The 17527-nt window shown below is 37.9% G+C and overlaps 1 protein-coding gene and 1 long non-coding RNA gene across 16 annotated transcripts in view; one reads left to right on the forward strand and one right to left on the reverse strand.

Annotated features, from left to right (window-relative positions):
• Nucleotides 1-12774, forward strand: part of LOC101927023 (uncharacterized) — a 29027-nt gene extending 16253 nt beyond the window's left edge. The window contains exons 2-4 of the long non-coding RNA NR_110559.1: nucleotides 5063-5097; nucleotides 6080-6238; nucleotides 12328-12774. This is a non-coding gene — a long non-coding RNA (uncharacterized LOC101927023). The remainder of the gene's footprint in view (nucleotides 1-5062; nucleotides 5098-6079; nucleotides 6239-12327) is intronic.
• The window catches only part of EPB41L4A (erythrocyte membrane protein band 4.1 like 4A), a 278107-nt gene that overhangs the window by 102707 nt on the left and 157873 nt on the right, over nucleotides 1-17527 (reverse strand). For all 15 annotated transcript variants that reach the window (XR_001742173.3, NR_144931.2, XM_011543531.4 and 12 more), the window contains 2 exons: nucleotides 15356-15444; nucleotides 14694-14757 (listed from right to left, as the gene is read on the reverse strand). Coding sequence is in view for 13 of the 15 variants with exons in the window: in XM_011543531.4 (XP_011541833.1) it covers nucleotides 14694-14757; nucleotides 15356-15444 (153 nt within the window). In the remaining 2 variants the exon portion in view is untranslated. The remainder of the gene's footprint in view (nucleotides 1-14693; nucleotides 14758-15355; nucleotides 15445-17527) is intronic.

Consider the following 17527-nt stretch of genomic DNA (forward strand, 5'->3'; position numbering starts at 1 on the left):
ATTTTATAGGCAGGCTGCAGAAGGCGGTGTCTGATTTATATAGGGCTCACAGATTGGTTTCATCAGATATGATGTCTACATAGTGTGCGGGGAAGGCTGGTCACCCTACCGTAATCTTCTTATGCAAATAGGCTTTCCAGTTGATCTGCGCCATCTTGTCTGCTCCTTTATAGTATGTGTGGCTGGCAGAGAAGGGAAGATGGACCCACCATTTTGAAAATGTCTAGTCCTTAGTTCCTGCTGGCACCCACCTGTGCAAGCTCCTAGCTTGCAGGGTGCTCTTTGTTAGAAAATGATTCAGGACTGCTTTTCATTAGAAAGTAGAGCCTTATCAAGCGCCCGTGCCCTTGTTATCTACCTAATTCCTTCTTAGCTCCTGTATCATTATAACGTATGTAATAATAATGAAAAAGTTTGAAATACTATTGCAAGAATTACCAAAATGTGACACAGTGACACGAAGTGAGCATGTGCTTTTGGAAAAATGCTACCAACAGATTGACAGGGTTGCCACAAATCTTCAATTTGTAAAAAAAACACAGTATCTGCAAAGCACAATAAAGTGAAGTGCAAAAAAAAAAAAAAGATATGCCTGTAATTCTAATTTTGCAGAAAATACTATTTATATTTTAAGTAACTGAACAGAAAACTAAGCAAAACACAATATGAATGCTAACACAATAAACCACAAGCTCTGTGAAGTTATATACTTGCTAATTTAATTTCAAAGCTACAAACCAAACTCAAGTCTCAAATGCAGCAAATGCCTCTGAAATGAGGTTTCTACGGACTCATAAACATAAAACAATCAATGCAAAAGAATAATTGAAATGATTTGTCTCCTACTTTTAATAAGGACAGAATATTTATATGTATAAAATTTCTCCCAAGTCCAACTTGAATGATGCTGCCCAACTTAGGAGTTTATTTGTAAGATGAAGAGATGTGATGGAAACAAAGCCAACATGCACACATTACAGCAAGGCTATCTGTAATTCCAAAACCTTGTCTGGTAAAAAAAGAAAGGAACATTTTCAGGTTTCTGGCTCGGGTGCTACTAAAATATAGCAAGTGGAAAAAATGGGCATTTGGATGACAAGGGAATAGACAATAAGTTCAGGTTGAAATATTCTGATTTTGAGGTCCCATGGGACACCTAGAGGGCCAAAGGATGCAGGTCAGAGAGCCAGAGAGAGGGCACATCTACTCACACAGGTGATCTCACCAAGTGAACAAGACTGCTCAGGGAGAGTGCGCAGAATGGATGAAGGTGGAATCACTGCAAAGACGCTCCTGAAGGTGGAGTGAGAGAGGTCCAAACATACCAGAAAAGAGTGTCAGAGAGGCTGGGAAGAGAGAGTGCAACTCTCAAGTGACCCAGAAAAGTCAAATCGAGTTTGAAAGGAGGTTACCACATTTCACGGTAAGAAATCTTCCGAGGCCTTTGTGAAAGGGATAGGGATTATACAATTAGAGGTGAGGAAGAAAAGTCAATGAATTCAGAAAGTGTTTTCCTTAGCAGCAAAAGAAACTGGTGGCAGAGCTGGGAAAGGGGACACACAGAAAATCACAGAAGCTCCTCCGGGCAGGGAGGGAAAGCCCAGGCTTTTGTCAGAAGATAGGAGCCCTTAGGGAGAAATTTTTTTTTCTTTTAGTTTTCTTTTTTTAAATATCCAGTCATGCGTTGTATAAGGATGTCTTGGTCAATGATGGATCGCATATACAACAGCGGTTCCTTAAGATTATAAAACGTATTTTAACTGTGCCTTTTCTGTGTTTAGATGTGTTTGGATACATAAATACTTACCATAGTGTTCCAATTGCCTGCAGTATTCAGTACAGTAACATGCTGTACAGGTTGGCAGCCTGAGAGCAATAGGCTATACTGTATAGCCTAGGTATTGTGAAAGGAAATTAAATTTGGGGACCCCAAACTCATTTAGCTAAAGGGAAAATTCAAGCTGGGAACTGGGTCACGCAAACCTGCCTCTCCTTTTTGGTTCCTAAATAAGATTGCTACAAGATGAAAAGCTACATGCCTCCCCCATATTTTTCTCATAAGGAAATTCCTAGTGAGCTGTTAAAACTTTACCATGGCAATGCAAACTGATAGCTTTATCTTTACAGGTACAGTCACCCCAGACACAAACGCATATCTGACTCTTCCCTTACCCTATTTTGTCTGTGTTATCTGATGTAAAATACAGATTCTCCACATTTTTCCTCTGCCCCTTTGTGTCATCCTATGTAAAAAAAATGTAGATTCACTGAGGCAGACAAAGGCATGAATGACTATTTTTCCCTACCCCCCTCTTACATGAAAACAGTGTGCTTCTCAACTCCCATCTTTTGCCCTTTAGATGTAGAGCTCTCAAAATCATCTTTGGAGAAAGGCATAGACCTGTCTCCCTGGCATGTCCTTAACTTTAGCAAATAAATCTCCTAAAATGATTGAGACTTGTCTCGTTATTTTCCTCGACTGACAATGTGTAGTAGGCTAGACCAGCCAGGTTTGTGTAAAAATATTCTATGATGTATACACAATGACAAAATCGCCTAACGACTTGTTTCTCAGAACATATCCCTGTCATTGACACATGATTGTATAACATGCACATGGTATAAATGCCCAAGTTTTCAAAGTGGGTATACAATGACAACTCAATCTCCCTCCCACCACTGTCCAATTACCTTCCCCAGAGGCAATCACTACTGTTAAGGGGTGGGTGTTTTTAAGGGCACTGAATTATTCCAAAATAGAATGTACAAGTTATTCATTTAAAATAAGTCTGCTTGTGACTGCATTCTATCAAGATAAATTGTTAAGGTAAAGATCAGACCAGGACAGGCTACCCCTGCCCCTCTACCACTATGTCCTTCCTCACTACGTGGACCCGCCATTTCCCTGTGCCTTTCAACAATGGAAGTACTGTGTGTGGCAGGACATACTGAGAATTACCACCTACTAGAAATGATGGCTGAGAATGACTTCTCTGTGACATAGACATTTTTACATTTTTAGCAAAATCATCCAAAATGAGGTATAATTTAAGTACTTAAATAAAAATATCAAAACTTATTTAATTACATGCTTCCAAAGACTTCCAAGACTTTTGGAATTCGCTGATATAATACAGGTCCTGAATTCTTACAAATGATGGAATTGGGGGTTTGAGTCAGGTTTACCATGAGTCTTCCAAAAGTCTTGGAAGGAGAAACAAAGTATTCCGTCTTAAAATAAAACATAGTCTTCTCTAAATCTCAAACTTTTCTTAGTCTGGTTTTGAACTATTTCTTCAGGTATGTGACTGTATCCTTTTACTTTTCAAGTACAGACCTTATCACAGGATACCTAACTTTTAATACTTTTTTAAAAAAACTACCATCACTTAAGGAAAGGATAAAAGATATTTCAAATCCAACCAGAATTGAGTTTTTCTCAAGTTTCCTTGGGTACAAATATATTAAAGGATCAAAAGTGCCTCCCCACTGGCTTCCTAATTATTTCTGCCAAGTACAAATGACAAGTATGAACTCACTCTCCACTTATAGTGAGCTTTAGGACAAGCTGCCTATTTTTTATCCTGTTCCTGGCAGAGTGATCCAAATACTAAAAGGAGGCTTAACATAATTGAAACAGGAGCCAGGTATTCTGAATAAATTCTGTGTACTTTTGCCATGTAGAGTAACTGCTGGCATGAATTCCACTGCCATGGCATTTCAAATATCTCTTTCTACCACTCTCACTTACCAAACCTCTTCCAGATAAACATGGCCAATTAGCACATTTCTACTCATTCACACAGATGAACAGCTGCTTAATTAAAGAAGTTCATTCCAATCTCCTACTAAAATACTTTATCCAAGAATCCAATGCTTGCTTTTTGTAAAATTACTCAAACACCTTTACAGCTTTGGTCATTTCATACCAGAAGCAAAGCTATTCTCTGAATCTATTTCTTTTTACTTCATAAACGAATCAAGATTGAGTCACTTCTAAGTCCAATATCATGTGGATATTACTGCTCCATGGGTCTCTAGAGTAAACCTGACTCAAACCCCCAATTCCATCATTTGTAAGAATTCAGGACCTGTATTATATCAGCAAATTTCCAACCTAACTCCCTCTGGTCTTCCCAGTTTCTTTTCCCATTTTGGCTGGCTATGTCTCTCTTGGCAAGCTTAAAGAAAGAAATCTACTTTCGCCTAGCTTCTTCTAAGGGTACTGGGATTACTGACAGGATCAGTGAAGGGCTCACGTTGCCAGCAGCACACCCACTTTTTCTGCCTGGGCCTAGTCCCATTTCAGTGCCTCTCCCAAGCCTGTATTCTTGACACAAGAATGCAATCCTGTACTCTTGACAGGCTCCTCCCTGTTTTTGTTTTGGGAAACAGCCACAACTGGACAGTCTACCTTCCCCAGGCTCCCTAAAATTATGGGTATGAATACCTTTCTTAATCCCATTATATACCTGGCTCACATCCAAGGTCACATTAGAAGTAACCCAAGATACACAGTGTAGGTCATCACTGAAGAGCAAAAGAGATGAGTACTTCTAAGAAAAGTAAAATGCAATCATTATATAAGTACCTGAAAGTCTACAGCAGAGAGGTTTCCTACTGATGCTCCATAGAGGTGGGGAAGAGGCTAAAAAGAAGTGTGACAATTACAAGTCTAAAGTACTGTGAGATTTTTGCTTTTTTCTTTCTATCCAATCCACACAAGATTTACATTAACTCGCAATCATTAACTCAGTTTAGGTTCCAGGGAGAGAAACAAAAATAGTCAGACGGCTGGTAGCAAATGACTAAAATAACTTTCTTCTTAATTACTGATCATGCAAAGGAAGGCAAGTAGTCAAACTGAAATCTTTATTCTCCAACTGGAAATAGATACCAAAGAAAGCTTACAAAATTGTAAGTCTTTTGAAAAATTTTATCTTTCTAAATGGTGAAACTGACTATAGTTTTAAAAATTAAACTATGTTAGTACACATGATATCCTGGGCACAATATCTGTTTTAATGGCTTTCCTCATATTTTTTCATGCTCTCTTTTCTAGGCATCCTGAGTTTCCACCTGGCTAATGAATTTAGGGTGAGTCCTGCAACAAAATTCACCAATTTTGTCATTACTTGGAAAAGGAAGTCAGAAGGAAATGTTAAGACACTGAATAAAACATGATCTTATTCTTTCCAGTCTTTACACAATGCTCCCCAAAGAGCATTTCTTACAACACTAAGGTCTTGCGATATTGGCATAGAAGGGTTCTTTGCTCAGATAAGTATGGGAAACACTGGGCTAAACACTCAGACCTTTAATGCGCTAATATGTACTGTGAATCTCCAAGAGCTAGTAAGGTTGTGGGTTGTTCTAATTTATTTGATCAAAGAACTTTCTTTCAGGGAAGTGTATGGTAAGCACATACTCTAGTTTAAAAAATATTGCACTATACATAAACAACCCTCTACATATAGATACACACACATTTTTTTAAAAAATTTTGAAACGTATGTAATATGGTTACGTATTTTTTAACTGAAAAATCACTGTGCATTTCAGCTCAGCAATTGAAGAATAAAACTAATTTTCATTTCTGCATGTATACTTCACAGTGTAAAAATAAAAACAGCAAAATATTCTAGTACTCTTATCAGCTATGTGGGTTATATTTCAAAACATGCTAAATGTGAAAACCATCTTACCCATTTTAAGGATGAATAAGTTGATTGCTTGATAAATAATTACATACAAATATTTACATCGTATTCCAGTAAACTTTGAAAACTATCATGTTGAGCTTATTCTTATTATTTGAAGGAATTCACAGATATGAACATAGAAGTCCAAATGGATTTTTCTGTGATAGTTTTCTATCTTCTCCTCATCTGTTTTGTAGTATTCCTAAAAAGTCAGTATTTCTCTCATATACTTGCAGATTGATTTAATTTTTGTTTTAATGATAACTAACTTTTATTCCCAATCTCACAGTGTTTTTAAAAAGTCTAATAAACATTATCAATCCTGTTAAAACGAAGGCTTATGTGGTAAGACCTACTGACAATCAAATTTTTTACAGGAGAATTTTCACCACTTCTGAATAAGTGGCCCATGTGTTTCAATTATGGACAAAATCAACAAAACACACCAGTAAGTGAAGCAAAGGAAAAGCCATGGGCCTGAAAACCTGGGCTTCTCTTCCTGCCATAACACAAGCTATTCAGCAGCCAAGAACAAGGTGATTCCATGGTCCTTTCCTGTGCAAGACTGCAATAGCTCTAAGTGGCCCAATACAAAGGCAGTTCCAACTCAGAGACACAGACTGTGTGCCCGTTACATGCCCAACTTTGCACTAGGTGCTTGTAACCTCACAGCAGCATCATAAGGATATTATCATCCTCACTTTACAGATTACGAAATGTAGGTTAAGTGTTGTTCAGTGAACTGCCCACAGTTAGTGAGCAAGAGACCTGGACTTAAAACATTTATTTGATCACATGTCTAACAGTCCATCACGAAATCTGAAAGACTCCAAACCCAAATGTCATGTGGCATCAGGACCCAATCATTACTAACAGCCACACTTAAGAATAGTTGGGAAAATATTAAATCTATAGTTCCAGGACTTCTATACATTGTAGTTGGAGACACAAAATGGTACAACTACGAATGAAGCCTGGGCATAAGGCAATACCAAACAAAACTACATAAGTACTTACCCTATGACCTAGCAATCCCACTACTGGGAATTTAACCCATGGATATCCCTCCAAAAACACATACACACAAAATTACTGAATGAAGAAAAATGTGTGACTGTAAAATATTGAAAACTTTTCCTAAATATTCAAGCATAAGAGATTGGTTGAATAAACTGTGGTACACACATTCAATACAGTGCTACGTACAAAAGAATGAGAAAGCTCTCAATAAACTGATACAGAATGATTTCTAGGAGATATTACTAAGTGGGGAAAAAACCCCAACACAGTACAAAAACCCATACAGTATGCTACTTTTAGGAAAGAAAGAATGAAGAAAAAAATGCTTATCTTTACAAAAAGAAACACAGGGAGGATTAACCAGAAAACAATGAAGTTGGTTACCTACAAGGAAGCATGGCGGAACAGGGTGGAAGGAAAATGGGAGTTGAGTTTTTGAGTAATTTTGATTTTTGAAAGCAAGTTAACCTTCTACATATTAAAAAATAAAATTAAACAAGAACGTGAAGGAGAGGGAGCTATAACCAAAAACAACCTGAAACAATAAACCTCAGTAGATTTCAAACGAATACATGAGCACAGGAATGAAGAAGGAAGACATGAATGATAAGAAGGAGAGAAGGGAGGACCAATCCAAGTAAATTTTGAACATAGTATTTGACTCTTAGGCCCTCTGTCTTGGCAAAGTGGTGCATGTGGATGAAAGGACAGCAAACAATTGTCCACTTTAGTGGTCTGACCAAAGCAATTCTGAAACTATGTGATATGTGTTACAGAATTGAGCAAATGAGTAAATGTGTGGCTTTTTTTTGGAAGCCAAGGTTCTCATGGCCAAAGAAAGGACATACAAATATAAAATGAGGGAGAGTAAGGAAGAACCCTGTGGCTATGGACAGAACTGGAAGTATGCTGTGAACTCCTGATTTCTAAGCTATGTATCAATATGTGTATGCTTATATGCACATGTGCACATATATTTCTATTTGTATATATGTGTATTAGGGTCTATGTGTGTATATATGAAAGCATTATTCCCTAGCTCTGTCAACTGAAAAGGCCAAGAATCAAAGTCGCCCTAGTAGCAATGACCACACCTAGCACCCAGATCTAGATCATTTCCTAGTCAAAGGAACCAGAGCTCCTCGGAAGAATGGCTAACACTCAGGGTAGGGACAGGGTTGATACAACATGCACCTGAAATATATTATACCAAAAAAGGAAGATATTAGCCCTAAAATGATGGGGGCAGATCCCAAAGGCAGGAGTCAGATTGAAAGGGTTCCCAATGACCAAATGTGAACAGCAAAATAGTTAGGTACCTGTGTGAACTAATGCAAGAACATAAAACCAAATACCAGGTGTTCTCACTTATAAGTGGGAACTAAACATTGAATACACATGAACATGAAGATGGAAACAACAGACACTGGGGACTACTGGATGGGGGAGGCATGGGCTGAAGAACCACCTGTTGGGTACTAAGCTCACTGCCTGGGTGACGGGATCATTAGGACCCCAAGCCTCACCGTCACACAATATACCCATGTAACAAACCTGCACATGTACCCTTTAATCTATAATAAAAGTTGAAAGTATTAAAAAAAAAATAGGTATGTAATGTATTTTAAACCATTGAAAAAATAGAAGTTAATAAATACTGACAATAAATAAAAGGGAGAGAAGGCAGTGCTCTTGTTTCAGTGGAATGCTGAGGGCTGACTCATAAATGTGGAGGGAGTACAGAGCTAGAAAAATCAGCGTTTTGCAACCATCTTAGTAGAAGACGATCAGGCAAGAATCCTCAATGAATGCTAAATTTACAGAGAATTTTAAAGAGGAACTGGGTATTTGCATTGATTTAAAGTATCTCCCCACAGACTACTTATTAGTTGCAAGAGAGAAGCAGGAATTATACAGCAGAGAAATCAGGCAACACTGTAATGAGTGATCAAACTTGACAGCCAACGAGGGACAGGTGGTCACCATATGCCCCCAGATGAGACACCTGAGAGGGACACTATTTCACCTATGCAGCTGTACAGCTAGGAATGCATAACCTTAGTCTAATCATGAGGAAACAGCTGAAAAACATGAAATAAGAAACTCTCTGTTTTAAAACAGTGGGGTATAACTGTATTCTTTTAAAATGTCAATTTTATAAAAGATAAAAAAATGCTATGAAAGTGTTCCAGATTAAAGGAGGTTATCTGAATTCTATACCATAGGGGAGAAATGCTAAAAAGGACATTATTGGGTTAACCAACAAAATTGGAATATGGAAGCTAGATGGTAAAAGTATTATATCATTATTAATGTATTAAGTTGTTAACCATACTGCAGTTACATCGGAATATCCCTATTCTTAGGAAATACACACTTACATATTTATAGTCTATGACATACGTAACTTACTCTCAAGCTGTTCTAAAGAGAAAGGCCTGTGTGTGTATGGAGAGAAAGAAGGCACAAATAACAAAGGAAGTGAAGTAAAATGTTAACCATAAGTGACTCTAGGTAACAGTAAATGAATATGTTCTTCGTAATATTTTAATTTTTACAACTTTTTAAATAAATTTTGAGTTGTTTTCAAATAAAAATACTTTTTAAAAATCTATATTACCATGTAAAATGTGAAAGGAACCCTTGGCTTAACGTAAGTGAGACCTCTTGCGCTTGTTGACAAACAGTGATGACTCCTGGCCATCATCGCTTCCCGTGTACTCTCCTTAAAGCAAGCCGGAGAGTTCTGCCAAGTGGATCTCATTACTCACAGCCAGAGTTGCCAGGAACCTTTTGGTTCTACATCCTGTCACACGGGGTAACTTTAGCTGAGGTTAGTTTCCTGAGGTATTATACATAAAAGTAAGCACAGCAGCATTTATTCATTCTTTCATTTATTTCACAAGTGTGCTTACTACATGCCAATTTCTGGGCTTAGTCCTGTGTTAGGAATTACATCCTCCTCTTGTTGCCAAAACCAAGAAATTCCAGTATTATCCTAAATTCCTATTTTCCACAAAAACATTGAATCTGCTACCAATCAGAAACAATTTAACCTCCTAAATGCTTCCCAAATCTGCCGACTTCTTTCCGTCTTTGCAGTGAGTCCCCTCTTGTCTCCCCTTGATCACATCTCCTACTCTGTCTGCCTCTGTGCTCACGTCTGTGGCATGTTCCACCCTGCAGCCAGAGTGTGCTTTCTTAAATGCACATCCGATCATGGAGGGTGAAGCCCAGAGTTAATGTAACACCCAATTTCCCCGCAAGTCCTCAATCCATTCTCAAGTGCTGAGTCTGAGCTCATGCCCACAGTTAAGAGAGGCCCTCCCCTAAGAAGAGTCAGGCTGAACCAGGCAGTGTGCTGGAACCACCCCACCTTCTTTAGGTCTTCTACCCCACATCTCCAGAGGGAATAGGCAGACATGGAAACCCAATCCTCACTCCCTTCCCAATCGACTGGACCAATTCTCATGATGCTCCTTATCTCTGTATATCTCAGTCACCCCCCAGTAATGCTCAGCATACCCCCTCGCCTGTCTCTTTCTTCATCACTACTCAACTCCTGAAACCCTTGCTTTGTGCCCTCCGGAATTCATGACCTCTCATCAGCAAACCCCCTCACTCCTCAGTCTGTTCTCTCATATGTCCTTCACCTTGCTGCACTAGGAGACCCCTGGCTCTCTCTGAAGACCCTGTTTCCACTGTAGCCCTCGAGGGATGGCTGTGTCTTCTGTCTCCACTGTTCTTCCATCTCTGAACCTAAAAGTGGGAAGGATCCTTCCTGCTCCACATTGCTGCTTTCAGACCGTTCTCTTTCCTTCCCCCTAAAACTCCCAGCTTTGGATCTCATCAGTTGATGAAATTCTGCAGTCTTTCACGGTGGGTGTCATCCTGAAAGTCACCCTCCTCATATGTTGATGCTGGCACAGTACCTGCCAGCTATATTTCTGTTTATTTCCCTTGTGCCAAAACTCCTCCAAAGAGTTGTCCACACTCACCATCTCCAAATCTCCAATTCTTATCTTCCTGTTACCTCTCTTATGGGTTTTTCTTAATGAATATGCATCAATTTATTTGTTCATTCCCCCGTTAATGGAATTCTGGGTTAATTTCTTTTTCTGACTTTTACGTAAGTGCTGCACAGAACACCTCTCTAGGGTACACATACTTAACAGGGGAACTGCTGGGTTGAAGCTCACTCTTCCAATCTACTGAAACTCACCTTGTCAATGATCTCCTACATTCCTAAATTCAGTGGCCCATTCTCAGCCTTTACCCTGTATGACATATCAGCATCATCTGACACATGCTTAATACATGACTTTTACTTGGCATTCAGCATAATTACTGTTCCTTCTATCTCACTGGATGATTCTTTTCAGCCTCCTTTGCTGGTTCTCTCTCTTCTTTTCTCATTTATACTCATTCTCCTAGTGATTTCAGGTAGTCTCGTGGCTTCAAAAAGTAGCAGATGCCAATTTTATATATTCAAATTTATATATTCTGCTCAGACGTTGGTACTAAACTCCAGGCTCACATAGCTCACTTCTTATTTAATATCTCCCCTTAGATGTCTAAAGGACATCTCAAATTCAACATGTTCAAAACGGGACTCCTGATCTTCCTCCTCAAGTCTGCTCTATCCATAGCCTTCCCCACCTCACCTGATGATAGCTCTATACTTATACCTCCTGCTTCTCAGGCCAAACTCGTTTAAGTGACCAGGACTCCTCTCTCTCATATCTGCCCACATTCAGGAAACCCTGGTGGTAAAATCCATAATCCAACAGCTTCTCCGCACTTTGTTGTCACCCTGATCCACTGAGATAGAGACACTATCATCTCTTGCCTGGATTTTGAAATAAGCTTAAGTTGTTGAATGAGTAAACAAGTAACAGCCTTAGTTCTCAAGGTATTCAGTGAAAATCAACCATCTGATAATAAACTTTAAAAAATTTCAGCACCTAGTAAAAAACACGTATTCCTAAAACCAAGAACTAACACATAGTGATAAAACAGTAGTGATATTTTCATTAAAACAGAAAGCCAATCAAGGATGCCTTATACTGCTATAACACTTAGTACTCTTCTAGAAGTTCGGACTAATACTACAAATGTGAAATTTACACAGTAGGATTGAAGGAATAAATTATTTTCATTTGCAAGTGATATACCTATAAAAATTTATGAGAATCAAATTAAGAACTCAGCTGGAATACAAGAATTCGGCAAAACGACTAGATATGAGATAAATAAAATTCCACAGCTTTCAATTCTCCTATCAAAAACCAGTTAGAAGAGATAATAGAAAGAAAAGATTGCATCCACAATAGCAAGAAAAAAAGTAAAACACATAAAAAGAAAACTTATCAAACACCATGCAGGAACCTATGAATAAAATTAGCAAAAAAGGGAAAATTCTTATGATACAATATAAAATACAAAAGCATGTACAAAACCACATAGGGGATAATCTACATGTATGTATAAATATATATACATTCACACTGATAGGGTGAAATCTAGAAGCAACTGTATCAAAATATTAATATTCATGACCTCTGAGTTTTAGGATAATGAATAATTTTAATTTTCTTCTTTGCAGGGTATTTTCTGGATTTTCTACAGTGAACATGTACGATCTTTATACTAAAAGTTTAGTTTTTTGTAAAAAATTATGTAAACAACAGTACTTATTTGGAAGTTTAATGCATGAAAGCATCTCTGAATTTGGCCTAAATGCAATGACCATACTAAGTCTTTCTGACCAGACCAGCAAACCAGCAGAATAAGCATTTCAACCATTCTTCATGCTGAATGTGATTACTGTTCCAAGTGATGGGTTTTAAGGGGCTTTTAAATTCAATTTGTGAGTACAGTTAGGCCTCCATAATAATCAACCTAATTCAACCATTATGTAAATCACTGCCTCACAGAGAGGTACCCTGGTGGAGAAAGAGAAAAGACCACAAGCAAGAATACTTAGGAAACAGAATGCTTTGACTAAATGAATGTGATACTTAACAGCAATAAAAAAAAACCTTTAATTCAAGCCTCTGAGTTATATGACCTGCTTTGTCACCTTCTTAAAGATCACTGACATTGAGCTTAATGACCTAGAAGTGTGCAGTGCCTTGGGCCTCCCCAGACATCCATTTCATCTCAAAGCTGAGGAAGGAATGAGGTGGGGGTGGGAGACACCTAAGCCGAGTACACAGGAAACAGGGTCATTCGATGGAGACTGTCATTTGAAAAATAACATGATGATATCAATTTTGTTGCTGTTGTTTTTGCCTAATCATGAAGTCCAAGAAGATGAAAGTTCAGCTTAGCTGGGACTTTGCCAAATATTTATCCTGAGACAGTAGTAGACATATATTTTAAGGCACTGTAATAATAACATGAAAGTCATTCACCAGAGGACCTCACTCACAAAAATAACTTATAAGGAAAGAATACTCTGAATAATAGTAATGCTTCCATAAGTCTTTTGATTATCATATTCTGCTAAAAAAACTTGAAACATTACTTTCAAATATATCTAACAGATCTTACTCCTTGCATTATTATTATTTAGATGAATTATTATTCATGTGAACCTAATGGCAACATAGGGAGAAACTACAAAACCCTCCTAATTAGCTACTCTACTTTTTGCATGATTTTAATTCAGTCTTATATTATAATGCACATCTTTTAAAATTGAGATGTCTAATCAGGAGCTGAAGAACACATTGGATTTCCTCCAAACTAAACCATAAGAACAACTATATGGCTTCTGTACTATCATTTCTTTAAAAATCTGGAATTCCCCTTCCTTACAAGTTGTTAAAACTCATTTCAAAATCCAGTTTTAATTGTATCAGTAAATGGCAGCATGCCATATAGTTCAGGATGAGATAATGTTTTTTTCCTATTAGGAGAACAAAGAGTAGCATCAGGTTTTCTGATGTGGCAGCACACAGTGTCTCAGTGCATCAGCTCATTGATCATTCAACAGATACTTATGAAGTACCTACTACATGTGAGGCACTCTGCCAAATACCATACCCCAAATGTAGCTGCAGCTCTCCTATTCCTGTGTCTCAGTGTGTGCATGCATAAGCACCAATTTACTTTTCTTTAATCAAGAAAATCAATTCAACTCCACTTAGTTTTTGTTCTGCACAAAGTTAGTATCAAAAAGACAGAAGAGTAGATTCTCCTATATCGTGTTTTCACTCATGTATCCCATAAATATGGATTAAACATCTTATTTTCACTCATGTATCCCATAATATGTGGTTTACACTAGTAGCACTTCAATGAAGCATTATTTTCACAGGTAGATCAAAAGGAAGCTTTCACATCCTTGCCTTCTTTCGACCATTTTTCTCAAAGACACACATCAAGGCATGAAAGCACATCCAGGCACTGACAAGTTCTGTGCCCATTACCCAAATACTCCCAGAGGACATTGCCAAGTTGCAAAGCAAAGGCCGGCATTTTTACATTCTCCCTTGAAAGCATCCAGAATTTCCATCTGGTTTGTCTATCACACTCAATGAGGAAAAGAGCAGAAGTAAGACTCCCAAAAGGTTGTTTAATTTACATTAGAGCAAAATTAGAATGCATTTTGGCAGTCCTGAATGCAGGCTATACCCTTCTGATTATAACTCCTACCTTCTACCCTCACAGAGAGTACTGGAAAGCAAATTGCACTAACAACAATGATCACCTCCTATTCTCTCCTCTGCCTTAGAAAGGTTTTGCTTTCCTTTGCTAAATCTAAAATGCCCATTTCTCCATTACCCTCTCACTCATTTCTATTCACTTCCCTTTCCTTCCTTGAGAAGTTGTGCATGTGAGTTAATTAACCTGGTTCCATGTGGAAGCAGCTGAAGAAAACATTTCTTCACAATGTCTTTTAAGCTACAAATGAACACACAAGACACCCCTCTTCTAATTTAAGCTAAGGGCTTGGAAACTTACATCTTTTCCCAGTACTCTGAGTTCAAATTGAGTCTCCTTGAAGTGAACCTTTGTAATCCGAGGCCTAAAAAACAAAGCAGATGGTGTTGCTGCTGTTTTTAAGTATTAACCTTTCAGAAAATCAGGGAAGTATCCAGTGGAAAAAGACTGGTGAATACTGGCTCCTTTATATACTGCTCCATACCCAGTACATACAGCGACAGAGAGATTTCCCCATACACTCTAATGAAAACTCCATTCTCATTGTCCTATGCTTCTCCACTAAATGCACAATGACCTTAGAATCCCTAGATTGTGGCAGTGCTGCCTTCCCAAACACAGTGCAGAGCCATGGGCTTCCCAATCTCTCCAACTCATCCCCATTTGGAGCTAAAAGTCAGAATAGTCCTGGATCCACAGCCCACCAGCACATACTGAAATGGGTGAGAAATCCTACTACACACAGCTCCCAGGGAAAAGAGAGTCTAGAATCACAGTGTCTGAAATTTACAGAGAAAACATATGCTGAGGTGCAACAGGAGAAAACTCACACCCAATTTCACTCATTTATTTATCACCCACTGGAAATATACCTGTTTTCTTTTCCCCAACTCTTTCACTGACACAGGAGTCCCATAAGCCCAAAACATAGAATGCCAACTCTGTTCTCAAGCCATACCTACCAGAAATACTTCCCCACTTGCTTTTTATTCTTGTACACAACAACACCAACCGGAGTTAATCCTAAGAAATACTCAGACTTGTTTTCTCCCTGCAAAAACAAACATATGCCTATAACCACATATTCACATAAAATCTCTTTGTCAAACTATAATTGACCATACAAATATAATTTGTTACATTAATATTGGATTTAATTTTTGAAAGACATCAGCCTAGAAAGCTAGATACACTATGATAGTAGCTAACTTGTTGCTTATTTTTTTCAAAGTTTTAAAAGAAACTTTCTGTTGGCGTTCTTCATACTTGTTACTTCAGTTCATTAAAATGAGCCTGGGCTACCAGTCAGGCCAATGGGACTTACCCAACTTTCCTTACACAGTGGTGTTCAATCCTAGCAACATATTAACTGGAATCACTGTGCAGCTTAAAATGCTGATGCCTGGGCACTACCAGAAACAGTTAAATCAGAATCTCTAATGAAGAGGCCAAAGTAGCAGAAAAAACACAGGACTCCCAGGTGATACTTCTGTACAGTTAAAGACTGAGAACCACTGGCATCTATCAAGGGTGCTTTTGAATGGCTTGATTTATCTCCGATGCGGACAATCATGAAACCCACTGCATCCCCACCCCAACTCTCTCTAGAAAGTTTAGGCAGTCACTAGCAGACACACACTTGAATTTTTTGAAGTCTCTATCATGTTTCTTCCTACTTCCACCTATAACTTTAAGAGTGCTCAAAAATGTAAAAGTATAATCTCTTCTGGTAAAGACTAGAGAACCTTTATTTTAAGGCAATAATAAATCCAAATTTTAAAAACAGGATCTTAAAATGAAAAAGTCATAGAGTAGATACCAAGGACATGCACAGCACTGTTTGTGAGAATGTTATTTCTACTCTAAGATAAATGGTAACCTGCAAAATTATATTCACAAAGAACATAAAGCAATACATTTGGAGGAATACCTGCCAATGCCCACTTTCAGTTCTTAAAATTCAAATCTTAAAGGAATGCACTGAAGAGTCTAATAAATCTAGCTCATTTGCCATAAATTTCTACCATCAACAGAAGGTGATTTCTAATTAGGATAAACATTATACAAATGTAGAAGCATTTTGCAGAAGACTCTCTTTATAAATTTCCTATGGAAAGTTTTCTTTTAAAAACTGAAAACCTAACAAGATTAATGTGGCTAAAGGGAGGGAAGGTAAAACGATAATGATTCTACAGTTTTAGCAGTATTCTTAAAGGACAGTGCTATGAAGCATTAATGACCTAATGAAATTGGAATCTAATATATCAGGGAACTACTTCTTCCCCACAATCTATAGCTTTTATTGCCACATTAAACAGGAATGCTTCTAACTGTAAAAATAATATGAGATTGTTTCTTCTTGGAGGAAATGCTAATGAGCAAAAGACATATACAAAATGAATGCATGAGTGTTATTTGCACTAGATAAAGTTTTATTAGGGTTCTTTAAAAACTGAGTTCCATAATCCAATTGATTAAAAAAAATCAGTCTATAAATACTCTCCAGCAATTCATTTCCTATAAAGAATAAAGTACCTGGCTCATTTCCTCAAATAAAATTTAACTATTGCTATCCACATTCCTCTTAATTCAAAGGCAAAGGCTTTCTAATCTCATTGACATAGAATAATCAATTGGTAGCCTAAGAGAAGTAGCTCAAAGGTTAAAACCCGGATCCAGAACACTCAGTGCAGATTCAGTGTAATTGCTCACTGATGACTATTCAGCAAGTTTTCATAAACCACTGAAAAAAATCTGCAAAAATATTTCTATTAATGCAGTGATACCTACAGTAGGTGGTAACCTTCATATTGACAGAATCAACAGTAGTTGCACCTGGCCTATTGCCTAACGCATCCTTTACCTGGCAAGTGATTGTATTTATGTTTTGCTGCCATAAAATCTATTTTTTGAAAAATCCTCCTGTTTTCTGTCTAATACAGTCAATTACACACCAATTTTTTTTTTTTTTTTTTTTTTGAGATGGGGTCTTGCTCTGTTGCCAGGCTGGAGTGCAGTGGCACGATCTCGGCTCACTGCAACCTCTGCCTCCCAGGTGGTTCAAGCCATTCTCCTGTCTCAGCCTCCCGAGTGGCTGGGATTACAGGCGCCCGCCACCACGTCCAGCTAATTTT

Source organism: Homo sapiens, chromosome 5, assembly GCF_000001405.40.
Source record: "Homo sapiens chromosome 5, GRCh38.p14 Primary Assembly".
Taxonomy (NCBI): Eukaryota; Metazoa; Chordata; class Mammalia; order Primates; family Hominidae; genus Homo; species Homo sapiens.